The sequence below is a fragment of the Homo sapiens genome, chromosome 2 (genome assembly GCF_000001405.40).
Source record: "Homo sapiens chromosome 2, GRCh38.p14 Primary Assembly".
Taxonomy (NCBI): Eukaryota; Metazoa; Chordata; class Mammalia; order Primates; family Hominidae; genus Homo; species Homo sapiens.
In genome coordinates, this window is record NC_000002.12 from 15,536,227 (window position 1) to 15,553,189 (window position 16,963).

At 39.1% G+C, this 16,963-nt stretch overlaps 1 protein-coding gene across 9 annotated transcripts in view; it reads right to left on the minus strand.

The window, feature by feature from the left end:
* NBAS (NBAS subunit of NRZ tethering complex) overlaps nucleotides 1-16,963 on the minus strand; it is a 782,426-nt gene that overhangs the window by 757,318 nt on the left and 8,145 nt on the right. For 8 of the 9 annotated variants that reach the window (XR_007076390.1, NR_052013.3, XM_017004317.2 and 5 more), the window contains exons 6-8: nucleotides 15,267-15,310; nucleotides 2,997-3,130; nucleotides 192-325 (exon numbers count right to left, since the gene is read on the minus strand). Coding sequence is in view for 7 of the 9 variants with exons in the window: in XM_017004317.2 (XP_016859806.1) it covers nucleotides 192-325; nucleotides 2,997-3,130; nucleotides 15,267-15,310 (312 nt within the window). In the remaining 2 variants the exon portion in view is untranslated. The remainder of the gene's footprint in view (nucleotides 1-191; nucleotides 326-2,996; nucleotides 3,131-15,266; nucleotides 15,311-16,963) is intronic. The other variant, XM_047444735.1, reaches the window with a different exon arrangement.

A 16,963-nucleotide genomic window follows, 5' to 3' on the forward strand; every position in this document is an offset into this window, starting at 1 on the left:
CAGTAAAATCCTAATTGTAGAACCCAAGTGGAAGTAATGGGTGTTCACCACACCACTCTTTCAAATTCCCTATTATATTTGCAATTTTTCATAATAGACAGAAAGCAAAAAAAAAAAGAAATATCAAAATCTGACATTAAACCAGAGAAATAAACATTATTTCAAATATGGCTTCCAAAGCACATTTTTACCTTACAAGGTAACTTCTAAGTTCTCCTCGGTAATTGATGACCAGGAGTTCTGCAGACCACTGTGCACTTGCTTTATATTCTAAAAATATCAACCCAGCAATGGCATAGCTTAAGTCACCTATAAAACTAGATGCCTACAGAAGAGGGGGAAATTAAGTTACTAAAAAAAAAAAAACTAGATAAAAGTTAACACATGCATAATTAGAGAATATCTGATACACTGGCTTCAGGTACACTTTATGTAAGATAACTTCAGAATTGCTCTGTATACTCAAGAATCATGCAAGTCAGAATGCCTAGAGCTAGACACCCAAATCTAGACCAGCCCTCTCAGACCCAGGCTGAAACCACAGCAGCCCCTTTGAAGAAGATGTTCACCTACATAGGAAATTTCTATTCAAATTGTATGTCAATTGCAGAAAAAAAACAAAGATAATGCCACCATTCAGCCTCAAAAAACTCTAAGAGCTTGTTTAAAGATAGAAGCTTCCAAATGTTAATTTCCACTGCCAGCAGTAGCCTGCGGTAAAAAAGTCTCCAGTTTCCATTTGCCTAATCAGCAACCTAAAGGAAACTACACATGAAATACTCACTCAGTGTTAACCTTTCTCCATTAACCAAATACCAGGCTAAACTGCTAAAGATTTGAAGGCCTGTACATCTTGGGAAGCACACAAAATAAAGTTTATCACCCATGAAGGGGATTCGAATATGCCGACCCAAAATATGCCACTTTGGCATAAGGATTATTTTGAGCTGAAGGCAACTGAGAATCAACAGACGCAGGAAAAATTCTTTGCCCTCCCCTTAACTGCCTAAAAACAAGGCAAAAATTTATCTTTGTGACAGTGCTCCTCAGTACCAGGAGGAGGAGATGGACTCATCCCTGGAAACCAGAAGTCATACCAAGATGAGTCTGTGTAAACAGACCTTATTAAAATCCCTTTCTTCCATTAATTTGTCCCATGCATTTCTTAGTCACTTTCCCACAATTTACCACCTCAAAAAGCCAAAATTCCCTTTCCTTTGTCTAGTCACATCTCAACAATTTATATCCCTCTATTAAAATGGTATATAAGGCTGGATGGGGTGGCTCACATCTGTAATCCCAACACATTGAGAGGCCAAAGTGGAAGGACCACTTGAAGTCAGGAGTCCAAGACCCAGCCTGGACAGCAAAGCAAGATTCTGTCTTTACAAAAGTTTAAAAGATTAGCCAGGTGTGGCTGCACTATGATCATTATCATTACACCACTGTGCTCCAGCCTGGGCAACAGCAAGACTCTATCTTTAAAAAAAGAAAAAATGGTATATAAGCCTGAGTCTAACCACTTCTTTGAGCTTTCACGTCTTTTCTGAGAAGCTCCCTGTACATGTAAAAATATTAACATCAATAAAAACTGTACAACTTTTCTCCTGCTAATCTGTCTTTTGTCAGTTTAATTTGCAGGCCCCTAGCTGCTAAATTTAAGCAGGCAGAGAAAAAGTTTTTCCTCCCAATCACCCCTGAATGGTTCCTCATTGTCTAGAACCACACAGTCAACACTTGATACACGGCTAGTCCAAATTGAGATATGTCATAAATATAAAAATACCATCAAATTTCAAAAATTTAAAATCAAAGAAAGAGCATAAACTATCACATTAATAATGTTTTATATTGATTACATGTTGAAATAATATTTTGGATATATTGGATGATATAAAATACAGTATTAAATAAATTTCACCTGTTTCTTATTTTAGCTTCTCATTGTAGTTACTATTAAATAAACTTCACCTGTAGTTATTGTATATGTGACCAAATATAAAATTACATTTGAGCACACATACAGCTCATATTGTATTTCTTTTAGCCAGAAATAGTCTAGAAAATAAGAATCCAGACTCCTTATTTTGGCTAAGATTCCCAGAATATGAGCACAACACACGTTTTTAGTTTCTCCACTCATTATTTCTGAAAAAAAAATCATTATCTATATCATTGGTTTTCAACCCTAGCTTCTCACTAGAATCAGCTAAAAGCTTATAAACAATATTAATACCCAGGCCCCACAAAGATCAAATGAATCAGAATCTCTGTGAGTAGCGCCTGGGCAATCTGGTAATTTGTTTTTTTCTTTTCCTTATAAAGCTCCCCAGGTGATTCTAAGATACAGCCAGAGTGAGAACCACTGTTCTATCTGACCCTGTATCTCGTTCAGTTGATGAAGGAGGATAGAAACTAAAAAGCACTATATTCCTAGAAGAGACATTATTCACGGAATTGTCATACAAAAGTCATTTTGTTCCCACTCAATCTTAGTTTTCTAGACAAAATGAGAACATCTGCCCAACCTACTCAAAGGGCTGTTATGAATATAAAATCATAATATATATCAAAGGCATTAATAAAGAATAAAATAGTATACAAATACAAATTACTACTACCATTTGTTTTTCTCTACTCGCCTTTTCAATTTCTATTTCCTGTAGGGTAACGAATTCCAACTCCTCTTGAAGTTGTTCCTGTTGTGACAGACCACTGACTTCTTTCTGTCACTAGAGCTTTATCACAACTTTCTGTACCTATATTTAGTGTTTACTTACTACCACGTGGTTTACATCTGGATAGTGTATTACAAAATACAAGGAATAACTATTGCATGCATACAGATTTCTAACTAGATTCTGGGCGTCTTAAGTCCACAGCTTATTATTCTGATTTATATTTGTATTATCCCCCCCTTCACACTCTTTTATTCAAGTACCTATACATACATGACATTGAAAAAACTATGTTTTCAATTTAAGCTATGTACATACCGGGGAAATGACAAAGAGTTCACTTCCCATGAGATCAAACACCCTCACAGTTCCTGTGCTTTCGGCATAGGCCAGTAGGGTACAATCGTAACTCCATGCTACCCGTCTCCACTGGGGTTTCGGGTCTTTCGGAACTAGAACAAAAGAAAACAAGAGGTGCTTCTAACAATATATTACAAAGATAGTTAATGCTTTTAGTAACTGCAACTAAAGTAAGTATTCAAGTACAATAATTACGTCATCTCCTAAGGATCTCTAATAAAGCTTCCCTCAATAAAAAAGAGCAGTTTCCAGAAACACACTTCAAGTAAGAGTGGGAAATACAAACCACTGCAACTATGCCCTATTTATTTTAGAAGCAAAGTCTACTGATGCATGGTCTGATGAATGCTGAGCATCCCCTGGTCTGGTAAAGGCCCAGGAATAATACACCTCAAAATATCTGTAATACTCAGAGAGATCTAAAGCATACAGAATGGGTAGACAATAATTCTAATCCAATGAGTTCCACTCCTCTAAAAGCAAAAAATAAAAATTGCAACTTGATCTTTTAAATACATCAAATATAGAAGCCAAGATACAAATTGGGACTATGCTAACATTGTATTAGAAAGGGGGGAAATATATATATATATACACACACACACACACTCACACACATATACATACACACATAGAAAGAGGCAGGTAAATCAAGAACTCATGAGTCAATCACACAATTTCAAGATTTTGATAATCAACAACTTAATAATTCTAATAACTCAGCAACTGAATTTTTTTCTGTTCTGAATTTTCAGTAAAATAGAGAGAAAGGCTATCAGCTGCAAAAGAAGAAAAAGAGGATGTGAAACTCTATGTTAGATTTGTTTGAGATTTTTTATTGTTTCGTTTGCTTCGGTTTCATCTTATTGGAATCTCAGAACTGAAGAGTTAGGTAGATAGACAAGTGTTCTTCCTTTCCCAACAAGAATTCAAAATGAGTAGGAGACTCAAGGTGTCACCTTGAGTCAAGAGTAGAACAAAACCCAGAACATCAGCATCCTGTCTTTCCATGCAGTGCAGGTGTCATTACAACACACTGCCTCTCCACCAGAGCCTTACAATTGCCTCAAAAATGCTCCAGAAACGTATGGCCTTCTTTTGATGCCTCTGCCACTATCCCAGCTCAGGTCTCACCATCTCCTGCTTGGCCTACTAACAGGTCTTCTGCCATCTGTCTCTTCCCTTCTATTCCTTCCTCCATACTATCAGACGATATCTTTCTAAAATAACAAGATAAACAGATCACATTCTTCTGCCACTTTAAAAGTCCTGAAGGTTCTCCATTTCCAACAGAATCAAGTCCAAATGCCTCAATATATATGAAAGGCCCTTCCCAAAAGGCCCCATTGTAGCTTTCCAGTTTTGCCTTCTACCACTTCCTCTGTCATATACCTAATAACCCACTCATACCACGACAACCTGGCAAATGAGCAAATATATGCCTTTTGTTTTGTTTTGTTTTTTGTTTTTTTTTTTGAGATAGAGTCTCACTCTGTCACCCAGACTGGAGTACAGTGGCGCGATCTGGGCTCACTGCAACCTCCATCTCCTGGGCTCAAGCAATTCTCCTGCCTCAGCCTCCTGAGTAGCTTGGATACAGGCGTGTGCCACTAAGCCTGGCTAATTTTTTTGTATTTTTAGTAGAGACGGGATTTCACCATGTTGGCCAGGCTGGTCTTGAACTCCTGACCTCAAGTAATCCGCCCGCCTCAGCCTCCCAAAGTGCTGGAATTACAGGCGTGAGCCACCGCACCCCGCCCATACGTGCCTTTTATACATATTGCTGCTCTACCTAGACTGTTCATCTCCAATCTTACTCATCCTTCCAGGTCTAGTTTGTTACCTCCTCCTTCCTTGACACCCTTGAAAACTGGCTGCTCTGTGCCACCAAATATTCTGTACATACCTCTTTCATAGCATTTATCACATCATATTGTTGTTTACCTATTTGCCCCACAAGTCTCTGAGCTCACTGAAATCAGAAACAATGTCTTATTCAACATTCTATTCCCAGGACCTGGAATTCAAAGTGATTAATGTTTCACTAACGAGTGACACCTATGTCTCTCAGAAAAAAAAATCTCTATTAACAGGGCAAGGTAATGGTAAGAGTTCACCATCCCTCCAGGACTACCAATGAAATGTGAATTCTATAACGGAAGTCATCTATCTACCTAAAAGAAATAATGTGTAGAGTTCAGACTTCCCTTAACTTTGTAATACATATTCTAGGGAATATATGGGGAAAGTACACCAGGCATCAACGATTTTCTTCATTTTGATTATTTATCAATAGGTTAAAAGTATACAAAAAAATCCCGGAGAGGTCATTCAGCATGGATAAGTCTAATTAATTTTATTAAAGCCTAACAAGATACTGCATACATTCTGGAACAGCCATTTTTGTAAGTGGGAATAATTTTTTCTAAAAAATCAATTCCCTGTCTTTAGACTGCTAAAATAAAAAATCAAACTTCACGGGAGGGAGGTGGGGGGGTCAGCCCCCCGCCCAGCCAGTCGCCCCGTCCGGGAGGGAGGTGGGGGGGTTCAGCCCCCCGCCCGGCCAGCCGCCCCGTCCGGGAGGGAGGTGGGGGGGTTCAGCCCCCCGCCCGGCCAGCCGCCCCGTCCGGGAGGGAGGTGGGGGGGTTCAGCCCCCCGCCCGGCCAGCCGCCCCGTCCGGGAGGGAGGTGGGGGGGTCAGCCCCCCGACCGGCCAGCCACCCCGTCCGGGAGGGAGGTGGGGGGGTTCAGCCCCCCGCCCGGCCAGCCGCCCCGTCCAGGAGGTGAGGGGCGCCTCTGCCCGGCCGCCCCTACTGGGAAGTGAGGAGCCCCTCTGCCTGGCCACCACCCCGTCTGGGAGGTGTACCCAACAGCTCATTGAGAACGGGCCATGATGACAATGGCAGTTTTGTGGAATAGAAAGGGGGGAAAAGTGGGGAAAAGATTGAGAAATCGGATGGTTGCCGTGTCTGTGTAGAAAGAAGTAGACATGGGAGACTTTTCATTTTGTTCTGTACTAAGAAAAATTCTTCTGCCTTGGGATCCTGTTGATCTGTGACCTTACCCCCAACCCTGTGCTCTCTGAAACATGTGCTGTGTCCACTCAGGGTTAAATGGATTAAGGGCGGTGCAAGATGTGCTTTGTTAAACAGATGCTTGAAGGCAGCATGCTCGTTAAGAGTCATCACCACTCCCTAATCTCAAGTACCCAGGGACACAAACACTGCGGAAGGCCGCAGGGTCCTCGGCCTAGGAAAACCAGAGACCTTTGTTCACTTGTTTATCTGCTGACCTTCCCTCCACTATTGTCCTGTGACCCTGCCAAATCCCCCTCTGCGAGAAACACCCAAGAATGATCAATAAAAAAATAAATAAATAAATAAGATAAAAAAAATAAAAAAAAAATCAAACTTCAAAGCAGGCACAGGTGCAAAATAACAAAAGAATAAAAAATTGACATATGCACAGATGCTACATAAAAACCAGCAAGATGACAATTTTCCCCTGAAAATATTTATGTGCTAAGGAAACACTACCATGTGATAACAGATTTTTCCTCTTATTTCATTTTGATAAGATAAACAGATTCTATGCACTGCATTGCATCTGCAAGGGATTTGCTTTTATATGCTAGTTACAACCAGTAACTCCAGAAAACTCAGCAGGTGTTTTGACCTAGATAAAAATATTTTTTCATTACAAGGTAAGATTTCATATAACAATGTGAAAATAAAGACTTTATCACTGGATTTTTCCAGTTGCTCGTGTGGCTTGGGAAAGGAATGAACAGTACAGATTTTTACAAAGCAAGAGTCAATGAAGTTGTCTGAAAAGTATGCAAGAAACACTGATGGTAAAAGTTAACCAGCAAATTGACAACTGACACATGCATGGTGAAATCAAGTCTATACCCCCCGACTCATATTTTCATCAGCTGTAGCTCCTCAAATCTGCCCGGTTGCCAAGCTCTTTCCCATCTCACAGCTTTTGTGGATGCTATTTTCTCTGCCTGGAACATTCTTTCCCTAACACTCCACTGGCTTTTTTTCATCTTTCAAGCTTCACTTTAAATAGCACTTCCTTAGAAGGCATTCTGTGACCACCCTAAGTAGCCTCTGAGCCCCATTATTTTCCACCAGTCCAATGATTTCATGTCCTTCACAGCTCTTACGCCAAATAATCATACATTTGTTTGTTATATCAGTCCGTTTTCATGCTGTTGATAAGACATATCTGAGACTGGGCAATTTACAAAAGAAAGAGGTTTAATTGAATTTACAGTTCCATGTGGTTAGGGAAGCCTCACAATCATGGTGGAAGGCAAGGAGGAGCAAGACCCATCGTGCATGGATGGCCTCAGGCAAAGAGAATGAGGAAGATGCAAAAGCAGAAACCCCCGATAAAACCATCAGATCTCGTGAGACTTATTCACTATCACAAGAACAATATGGGTGAAACTGCCACCCATGATTCAATCATCTCCTACTGGGTCCCTCCCGCAACACGTGGGAGTTATGGGAGTACAAATCAAGATGAGATTTGGGTGGGGACACAGAGCCAAATCGTATCATTTGTCAGACATTTTATTGTCTGCCTTATTTGTTAATCTATAAATTCCAAAATGTCAGGAGCTGTGTCTATTTTGTTCATAATGTTTATGACCAGTGCCTAGTACTCTGGTGGGACATAACAAACACCCAAATTCTCAAGGAGCAGACTTCAATCCAGTGCCCATTTACCCAAACTAGCAATGGAAATGAGCAAGGATTTAAAAATAATAAACACTGGGTTCTTGTCTCAGTGCTACCACAAGACACCTGGGTATGACCCTGGGTATGGTCTCAGTTTCCTCATTTTCATAGTGAATTCAATGAACAATCTCTCATATATATACATTCTTTACTTCCAAGTCAAGTCAAGAACCAGTGAGCAAGGGCAAACTAGTGGGAGTGGAAAGACATCAGAGAAGCCAAATATGTAAATGTTAATAGTGTCGCCAGAAGAACACAAGAGAAAAACCTTAACAATTCTACAATAAGAAAGGCCTAAATATAAGAAACTCTGACTTTATAAAGAAAAAAAGTGACAAATGGTGAAGGGAGGGAGGAAGGAAGGCGGGAAAGAGGGAAGCAGGGAAGGGAGGAAGGGAAGAAGGGAGGGAGGGAATTCTCTATGGGAAAAGATGCCACAACAAATTTAAAATCAATTGGATAAAAACAATAGGCATAAACTTTGCAAATTTGAAGAAATCTACAAAACTGCTTATCTAGAAGCTTAATGAACTTAAAGCAGGATAAACTCAAAAGCTATCAAGGCACATGATAATCAATGTCTGACAAACAATAATAAAGAGAAAATTTTAAAGTAGACAGAAGAAAGAAACACACCTTCTATCCAAGAAAACAATAGCAATGACTCCCAATTTCTTGTCAAAAACAAAACAATGACATCTTTAAAGAGCTGAAAGAGCCAGGCTCAGGGCTCATGCCTGTAATCCCAGCACTTTGAGAGGCCAAGGCGGGTGGATAACGAGGTCAGGAGTTCGAGACCATCCTGTCCAAAATGGTGAAATCCTATCTCTACTAAAAAATACAAAACTTAGCTGGGTATTGTGGTGCACGCCTGTGATCCCAGCTGCTTAGGAGGCTGAAGCATGAGAACTGCTTGAACCCAGGAGGTGGAGGTCGCAGTGAGCCAAGATCGTGTCACTGCACTCCAGCCTAGGTGATAGAGCAAGACTCTGGCTGGCAAAAAAAAAAATATATCCAATACCCGCGCTATACCCAAGAACCAAATTCTTTTAAATGTGAAACATTCATGAAGACAGAATATATGCTAGGCCATAAATCAAGCCTCAATAAATGAAAAAGGTTAAAATCATGTTGTTTATGTTCTCTGGCAACAAAAGAATTAAATTAGACGTAATTAACAAAAAGATGCTTATATTAGAATAGGCTTAATTTATATATGAAAAAAGTTTAAATTCAGTAATCTAAATTTCCACCTTCCATCTATAACAATGAGAGCAAATTAAATCCTGTATGCAGAAGAAAGGAACTATTAATAAGGGCAAAAATCAAGGTAAGCAAAAAAAGAAATCCATAAAACCCAAAATTTTTTCTTGAAGAATATTAACAAATGGACAAAACTCTGGCCTGACTGATTTAAGAGAAAAGGGAAAAATACCAAGTACAAATCTCAAAACCGATACAGGGGACGTCAGTACAGATCCTACAGACAGAAGGGTAATAGGGAATATTATAAACATTAAGCCAATAATTTCTACAATTTAGGGAAAAATTCCACAAAAACTGAAATAAAAGGAAACCAAAATTTTAAAAAGCCTTATTAATTACTAGTATTTTAACTAAACTCAAGATTTAAAATTGGTTAATTAAAAGACTGCTTACAAGAAAACTCCAAGTTTCACTGGTGAATTCCATCAAACATTTAAGGAAGAAATAATTCAATTCTACACAAATTGTTTCAGAAAATAAAAAAGGAGGGAACACTTGCCAACCCTTTTCAAACCAGCACTACTCCAATACCAAACCAGGAAGATGTTACAAAAGAGCAATCTAAATACCAATATCCTTCATGAACGCAGATGCAATAATCTGCTATGTTTTACACAATTATCTGCATAAATGCCTGATGATGATTTTCCCTTGCTGGTGGAATCAAATACAATATCTAGTGGCTTGCTGCTCAGAGATCAAGTTTATAAGCATTTCCTGGATTGTCTGGATAGCTGGGAGACCTATGTCCTAACACCTAAGACGCTATTCAGTAGAAATGATCAAAAAAGATAACTCTGGAAAGTGCTTCTTAAACTTCAACCTAAAAATTACTCTTTTTTAACAACCTATCTTTAAGTGAAGAAATCAGATCACAAAACACTTATTTTCATAGAACATATCTACAGTAACAGGTACAGGAAAATGTCTGAAACAATAAATAAAATGTTGATAGTATTTATCTCTTGGTGGTGAGCTTATTTTTCTTTTCTTTTTTCTCACTTTTAGTTTCTAAAGTTTCTACGAAGAATGTGTATTATGTTTTCAATAGGAAAAAATTACTTCATCTAAACTTCCCAAAAAAGGGCAAATGGTTATCATATAATCTGAGGATCCTGAATCACAATTCTGGAACAAAATGCTTCATTTCAAAGTCTGGGTGTTTCAGTCGGGCATGGTGGCTCACGCCTGTAAGCCCAGCACTTTGGGAGACCAAGGCAGGTGGATCATTTGATGTCAGGATTTCGAGACCAGCCTGACCAACATGGTGAAACCCCGACTCTACTAAAAACACAAAAATTAGCTGGGCATGGTGGCAGGTGCCTATAATCCCAGCTACTTGGAGTCTGAGGCAGGAGAATCACTTGAACTCGGGAGGTGGAGGTTGCAGTGAGCCTAGATGGCGCCACTGCACTCCAGCCTCAGTGACAGAGCCAGACTCCGTCTGAAAACAAAACAAAAAAAACAAGTCTGGGTGTTTCAAATAGTCTATCCTTCCCAACCTTTTTCATGTCAACACACAGAGAAAATCATATTTGTATGGCATCTAACAGTAAACTGATGAGGCTGCTGGAAGCCAGAGGCAACCAGGAGAAGTTCAAGCTGTCAGAGTGCCCACCCAGCCACTGGAGGGCTGATGGGACCTTACCATACCTATAGTAGGCAAGCTGTTGCGTACAGTTAGGAAACTCGCATTTATGGTATCCCAAAATCAAAACTATGAAAAAATCTGTTGACTACCATAGTACAACTCTTTTTAAAAACTCTAATTTCGTGTGCTATTTTTAGTTCATTATTCAGGTAGAAAGAGAAAACTGAATTCCTATTTATGGCCTAACAGAGCCAAAACAAGTTACAATCCACATTTAAAACATTCTCGAATGGCATGTATTTTATAAAACAATAATTGAAAAATATCAGAGTAGAACCAAATAGCTCCTATTTCAGTTTGTAGACTCTGCAATATGTAGTTTCAAAAATGCATTAACAACAATCTGGCTCCTTTTCTGCAGGCACACACATGAAATATCATTTGGCATATGGGAGTTATTCCCATAAAGATGAGTCAGATAACAAGCAAATGATCATTACCTCACATTATGTGAAATGGAAAGAAGCCATTAATGCAGTATTAAGGTCATAAATTCACACACACAGAAGCCAACAAAATAAAACATTAGCTCTCAAAGCATTATTTTCTTATCCTTGCTGCCACATTAACCATACACACTAAAAACTCTGACAAATATTATAATTTGTATAAAATACAGAAGGGTAAAGCTTCCCATGTTCATGTTAATTTGTAGATTTCTCGATTTACCTACTGGCTAGGAGCAGGTATCTAATGCCGAAGCTCAAAAGAACCCTGTATATCTGAATCACTCCAACACTCTAAGCACGCTCCTCAGAAACCTATCTTAGGCCCCCCAAGCTCTCACCCAGTGAAAGGGCTGCACTGGGAAAAAGGCAATTGAATACCCACCAAATTATTCTTCTGGCAACTTCTTGACCTTTACATATTATTTAAGCAAGGCCTGGTCTACTCTAAAGCACTGGTGAGGAAACTACAGAAGGTATATTCAAAAAGGGCTAGAGCCCCAAGCTTTAGATATTCATACTTAAACACTACCTCCCCAAAAGGATTAGGCAAACAGGTCTTCTTATCCACCCTTATTGCTCTATTCATGCTATGTGTATACATGTATACATAAGGAATAAAAAATATTAATGCCATGACAGTTTTCCACAAATTTATACATGGATCTCTATAATATGTATAATATAGACAGTATTATATATAATAAATACATGTACACTTTTGTGAATTTCTAAAGTTAAACAAGAAACAGGCAAACATACTTTGTTGGTATATTCATTCATCCATAAAAATCATTTGAATAGTTCCCAAGTGCCATTACCCACTTGATACGGTCAAAAATTGTGTGCCTACGATGTGTCAGGCACCGTGCTAAGCACGAAAAAAAAAAGTTATATTGGGTGAGATATGGCCCCTGCCATCAAATAATTTACAATCTAATTGGGAATCCGACAAGCAAATCAACAATTAAAAAAGAAATCAGGCAAGGCACAGTGGCTCATGCCTGTAATCCCAGCACTTTGGGAGGCTGAGGCAGGTGGATCACCTGAGGTCAGGAGTTCAAGACCAGCCTGGCCAACATAGTGAAACCGCATCTCTATCAAAAATACAAAAAAATGCCGGGTGTGATGGCACGCACCTGTAATCCCAGCTACTTCAGGAGGCTGAGGCAGGAGAATCACATGAACCTGGGAGGCAGAGGGTGCAGTGAGCTGAGATCGCACCACTGCACTCCAGCCTGCGCAACAGAGCAAGACTTCATCTCAAAAAATATATATAAATTAAATCAATAAAAAAGGAAAGCAGGCTAAGTAAGTGCTGTGATATAGGCAGAAGCAACTAGATGGGAAACATGAAGATGTACAAATGGTGGGAGCGAACACAGGGAGGAGAGCCGATGCTTGATCTAAAATATACAAGACTAATTAATTCAATACAAAGGTAGGAGCTTCCGAGAAAAGGAACCATCTGTACGTGAAGGCATGAAGAACACAATGGGGTTAGAAAATTGCACACTGTTTTGTACTAGAACATAAGACATATAGCAGGAGACTCTCACGGGATAGACAGGCTGATTGCGAAAAGTCTTTTATCGTAAATTAGAAAAAATGAACTGTATTCCAGTCAATAGCAAACAACTGACAGATTTCAGGTAGAATTATAGTAACAGTAATTATAACAATAGCTTAACATCTCCTAAGTATTCATGATGTGTCAGACACTATGCCGAGAGTTTTACATACATTAATTCATATAATCTTTCCACAACTCAATTTATAAAATTATGCCCATTTTACAGATAATGAAACTGGGGCTCAGAGAGGTAACTTGCCCGAGGTTACCAGAAATCTAGAAAGCAGTTAAGTCAGATGTGAAGGGTTACCTGCTAGAATAGTGTTTTTTTAATGATCAATTTGCCAAGGAGTATAAAGTGTGGATTACTAGAGGGCATACAGAAGAAAACTTTGTCAGCAGACTGTTGTAAGAAACCAAGTAAAAAATGTTAAGAGCCTGAACTAAGGCTGTGATGGTGGAAGTACACAAGTGGAATAAAAGAGCTATTTAAACAGGCTGAGCACAGTGGCTCATGCCTGTAATGTCAGCACTTTGGGAGGCCAAGGCGGGAGGATCACTTGAGCCCATGAGTGCACCAGGCTGGGCAACGTGGCAAACCCCTGTATCTGTAAAAAACACAAAAAAATTAGCTGGGCATGGTGACACGCACCTGTAGCCCCAGCCACCTGGGAAACGTAGATGGGAGGATCACCTGAGCCCAGGAGGTTGAGTCTGCAGTGAGCCATGATCATGCCACTGAACTCCAGCCTGAGCGAAAGACTGAGACCCTGTCTCAAAAAAATAAATAAATAAATAAAATTACTATATAAATAAATAAACAGGCTCCCAGGGCTTGGTAAAATTAAGTTAAAGGTGATTCTTCTCCATCATGGCACTTAAGTACAAGTACAGTCATTATCTGTTATCTCTCTCTCAAAGGCTGGGCACAGTGGCTCACACCTATAATCCCAGCACTTTGGGAGGCTGAGGCAGGAGAACTGCTTGAGCCCAGGAGTTTGAGGCTAGCCTGGGCAACAAGGCAAGACCCTCGTCTCTACAAAAAATTTTAAAATAATAAAAAGTTAGCCAGGCATGCTGGTGCATGCCTGTGGTCCCAGCTACTCAGGAGGCTGAGGCAGGAAGATCACTTGAGCCCATGAGGTCAGGCTGCAGTAAACCATGATCACACCACTGCACTCCGGCCTGGCAACAGAGTGAGGCCCTATCTCAAAAAATAAAAATAAAAAAAGAACAGCATTTCCATGAGGGAGTGGGGGAATCTTCTGTATTACCACATTGTAGCTCTGAAAACTACCAGTGCCTCCCACCTCCTTGCTCTCTATTGATGTCAAATACATATTTTATCCTAATACTGTTTTAAGATAAAATATTTATACTGCTTTATTTCCATTACACAAGAAAATCATGTAAAGCCCTAAATACAGTGCCAGGCACACAGTAAGAACACTATAAATGTTTGTCATCAACACAATGACCATGTTTACCATTATTATACTTCCTACAACAATTACACTGTTAAACTAACACAAGATCAGACAGATGGAACTGTAGGTCCTGTAAATAAAACATAGGTAATAGATGCATTTACCTAATACCACCCTTTTTTTCTCCTGTAAGGTTCCTTCTTTCTGTCTTTTCTTTTTTTTTTTTTGAGACGGAGTCTCACTCTGTTGTCCATGCTGGAGTCCAGTGGCTCAATCTCGGCTCACTGTAAACTCCATCTCCCAGGTTCAAGTGATTCTCCTGCCTCGGCCTCCCAAGTAGCTGGAATTACAGGCATGTGTCATCATGCCTGGGTAATTTTTGTATTTTTAGTAGAGACGGGGTTTCACCATGTTGGCCAGGCTCGTCTCAAACTCCTGACCTCAAGTGATCCGCCCACCTCGGCCTCCCAAAGTGCTGGGATTACAGGTGAGAGCCACTGCGTCCAGACTACTCTTTCTTAAAGCTGCTTTCCAAAAGTCATTTTTCTTTCTCAGCCATCTCATCTGACACCCCCGATTAAGAAATCTCATGGGATTTAATTTTTCCTTAATTAGATTTGTCAAAGTTTGTAATTATATATTTGAGCATCTATATGCTTCATGAGATAAAGGAGCAGGTCTTTTTGCTCACAATCATTCCTCAAGCAACCAGCAAAACAGCACATACACGTAAATTACAGTCAGTAAATTTTTGCTGAATATATTTAAAAAATGGCCAAATCCTAGACTTCTTACTAGTCTGTATCTAACTCTTGACTTATACCTATTTATTTCTGCATTTAATCCAAAATAAAAGGCTACAGTTAAAAATACTTCATCCCATAACTGGCTTAGACTTTTTTAGAACCCAGTTTCCAAATCTCACTAAAATGAACCATTTTAAAGCAAAATATTTAAGACAGTAAAAAAAAAAAAAAGCAGTTTTTAAAAATTATTTTAATAGTCATGATAATCCTTGTTAATAAATATTTAATATCTATTCTAACTTTTAAGAAACATTGGAAACCATTGCGCATTTGAAATTTTCATTCTTTAAATATTTTGGAAACTCTTACCTTGACATTTCCCAATAATGGATGTAAAATCATCTTTTGCAGACCTGTAAAACATGCAAAATCAAGGCAAAAGTTTTATCGTAACACTGTATAGAACCATAAAATACCAGATACTGTGGACTAGACAGCCTCTATATACAATGCTCAATCATATCTCCTCTCAGACATGGTTTTGTGGCTCAATTATGACCCTTTTGTCAGTGACAATATTTTCTTCCAACCTTATTGCATCAGATACGGAGCTACATCGTTATGGAGACATATATATGGAATATAGTGACACAGCCTAAGTGAATTTACCGTGGTCTTTTCATACAATAGAGATGTCTGGTCCCCATCCCCAAAGGTTCTGAATCAAGAAATGTGGGATGGGGCCCAAGCAAAAATATTTTTTTGCTGGATACATCATTCCTAATTAAGAACCACTGGTCTGTATCATATTACAAAGTTTGATCACTTAGGGGAAAAAGTCTTATTTTGAGAAATCAAACAGCCTTAATAGGTCACCATATTTAAATCAACAACCTATTTTAAATCTGTGATCCTGAAATATATACCAAGTAGAATAATTATTATAAAATATGTTTAAAAATGAAAACTGGTAAACCTTCTAGAAAATAATTTAATAACAATTATCCAAAACCTTCATGTCTGTAGCATTTGACCTAACAATTCTATTTCTATAAAGTTATCCCCAGGAAATAATTACAGATACATACAGATATCAAAAAAACTGGTATGGTCTCATTTATAAAGGAGAAAAATAATACCCAGTATAAAGAGATTAAACTTTGCTATGTGCACCCAATGAAATATTATGGAATTACTATAGTCGACCCTTGAACAACACAGGTTTCAACTATGCAGGTCCATGTCTATGTGGATTTTCTTCTACCTCTACCACTCTGAGATGGCAAGACCACCTTCTCTTCCTCCTCCTCCTCCTCAGCCCACTCCATGTGAAGATGACGATAATGAAGACCTTTGTAATGGTCCACTTCCACTTAATGAACAGTAAATATATTCCTCTTCCATATGATTTTCCTAATAACATTTCCCAAAGAATGAACTCATTTTTCTCAGTTGCTATTGTTGCTATTTCTTTCATAACTGATATACTGTTTAAAAATAAAACACCTGAAAAGTCCAGCTTAGAGATGTCTTTTAGATGTGTATATAATACCACTGAATGTCTCAAGAGGACAGACAGCATAATTGGTCTCAAGTAATACGTAACCTAGGTCATTTGCACACTCATATTCCATCTACAGTTTTGTACCAACAGAGAAAAAGCATACCTATTTTTTTTTTTTTTTTTTGAGACAGAGTCTCGCTCTGTCGCCAGGCTGGAGTGCAGTGGCACAATCTCGGCTCACTGCAACTAGTTCTCAGCTCACTGCCTCCCAGGTTCAAGCAGTTCTCCTGCCTCAGCCTCCCGAATAGCTGGGATTACAGGTGTGCGCCACCATGCCCAGCTAATTTTTGTATTTTCAGTAGAGACGGGGTTTCACCACGTTGGCCAGGATGGTCTCAATCTCTTGACCTTGTGATCTGCCCGCCTCGGCCTCCCAAAGTGCTGAACCATCCCTACTCTTTTACACCTTCCTGAGTTTCTGTTTAGCTAATATAGCAGTAAATAGTCACACAACAGTGATTTCCAGAGTTCTGGAGGATAGGCCTCATTTACTGAGAAAGTA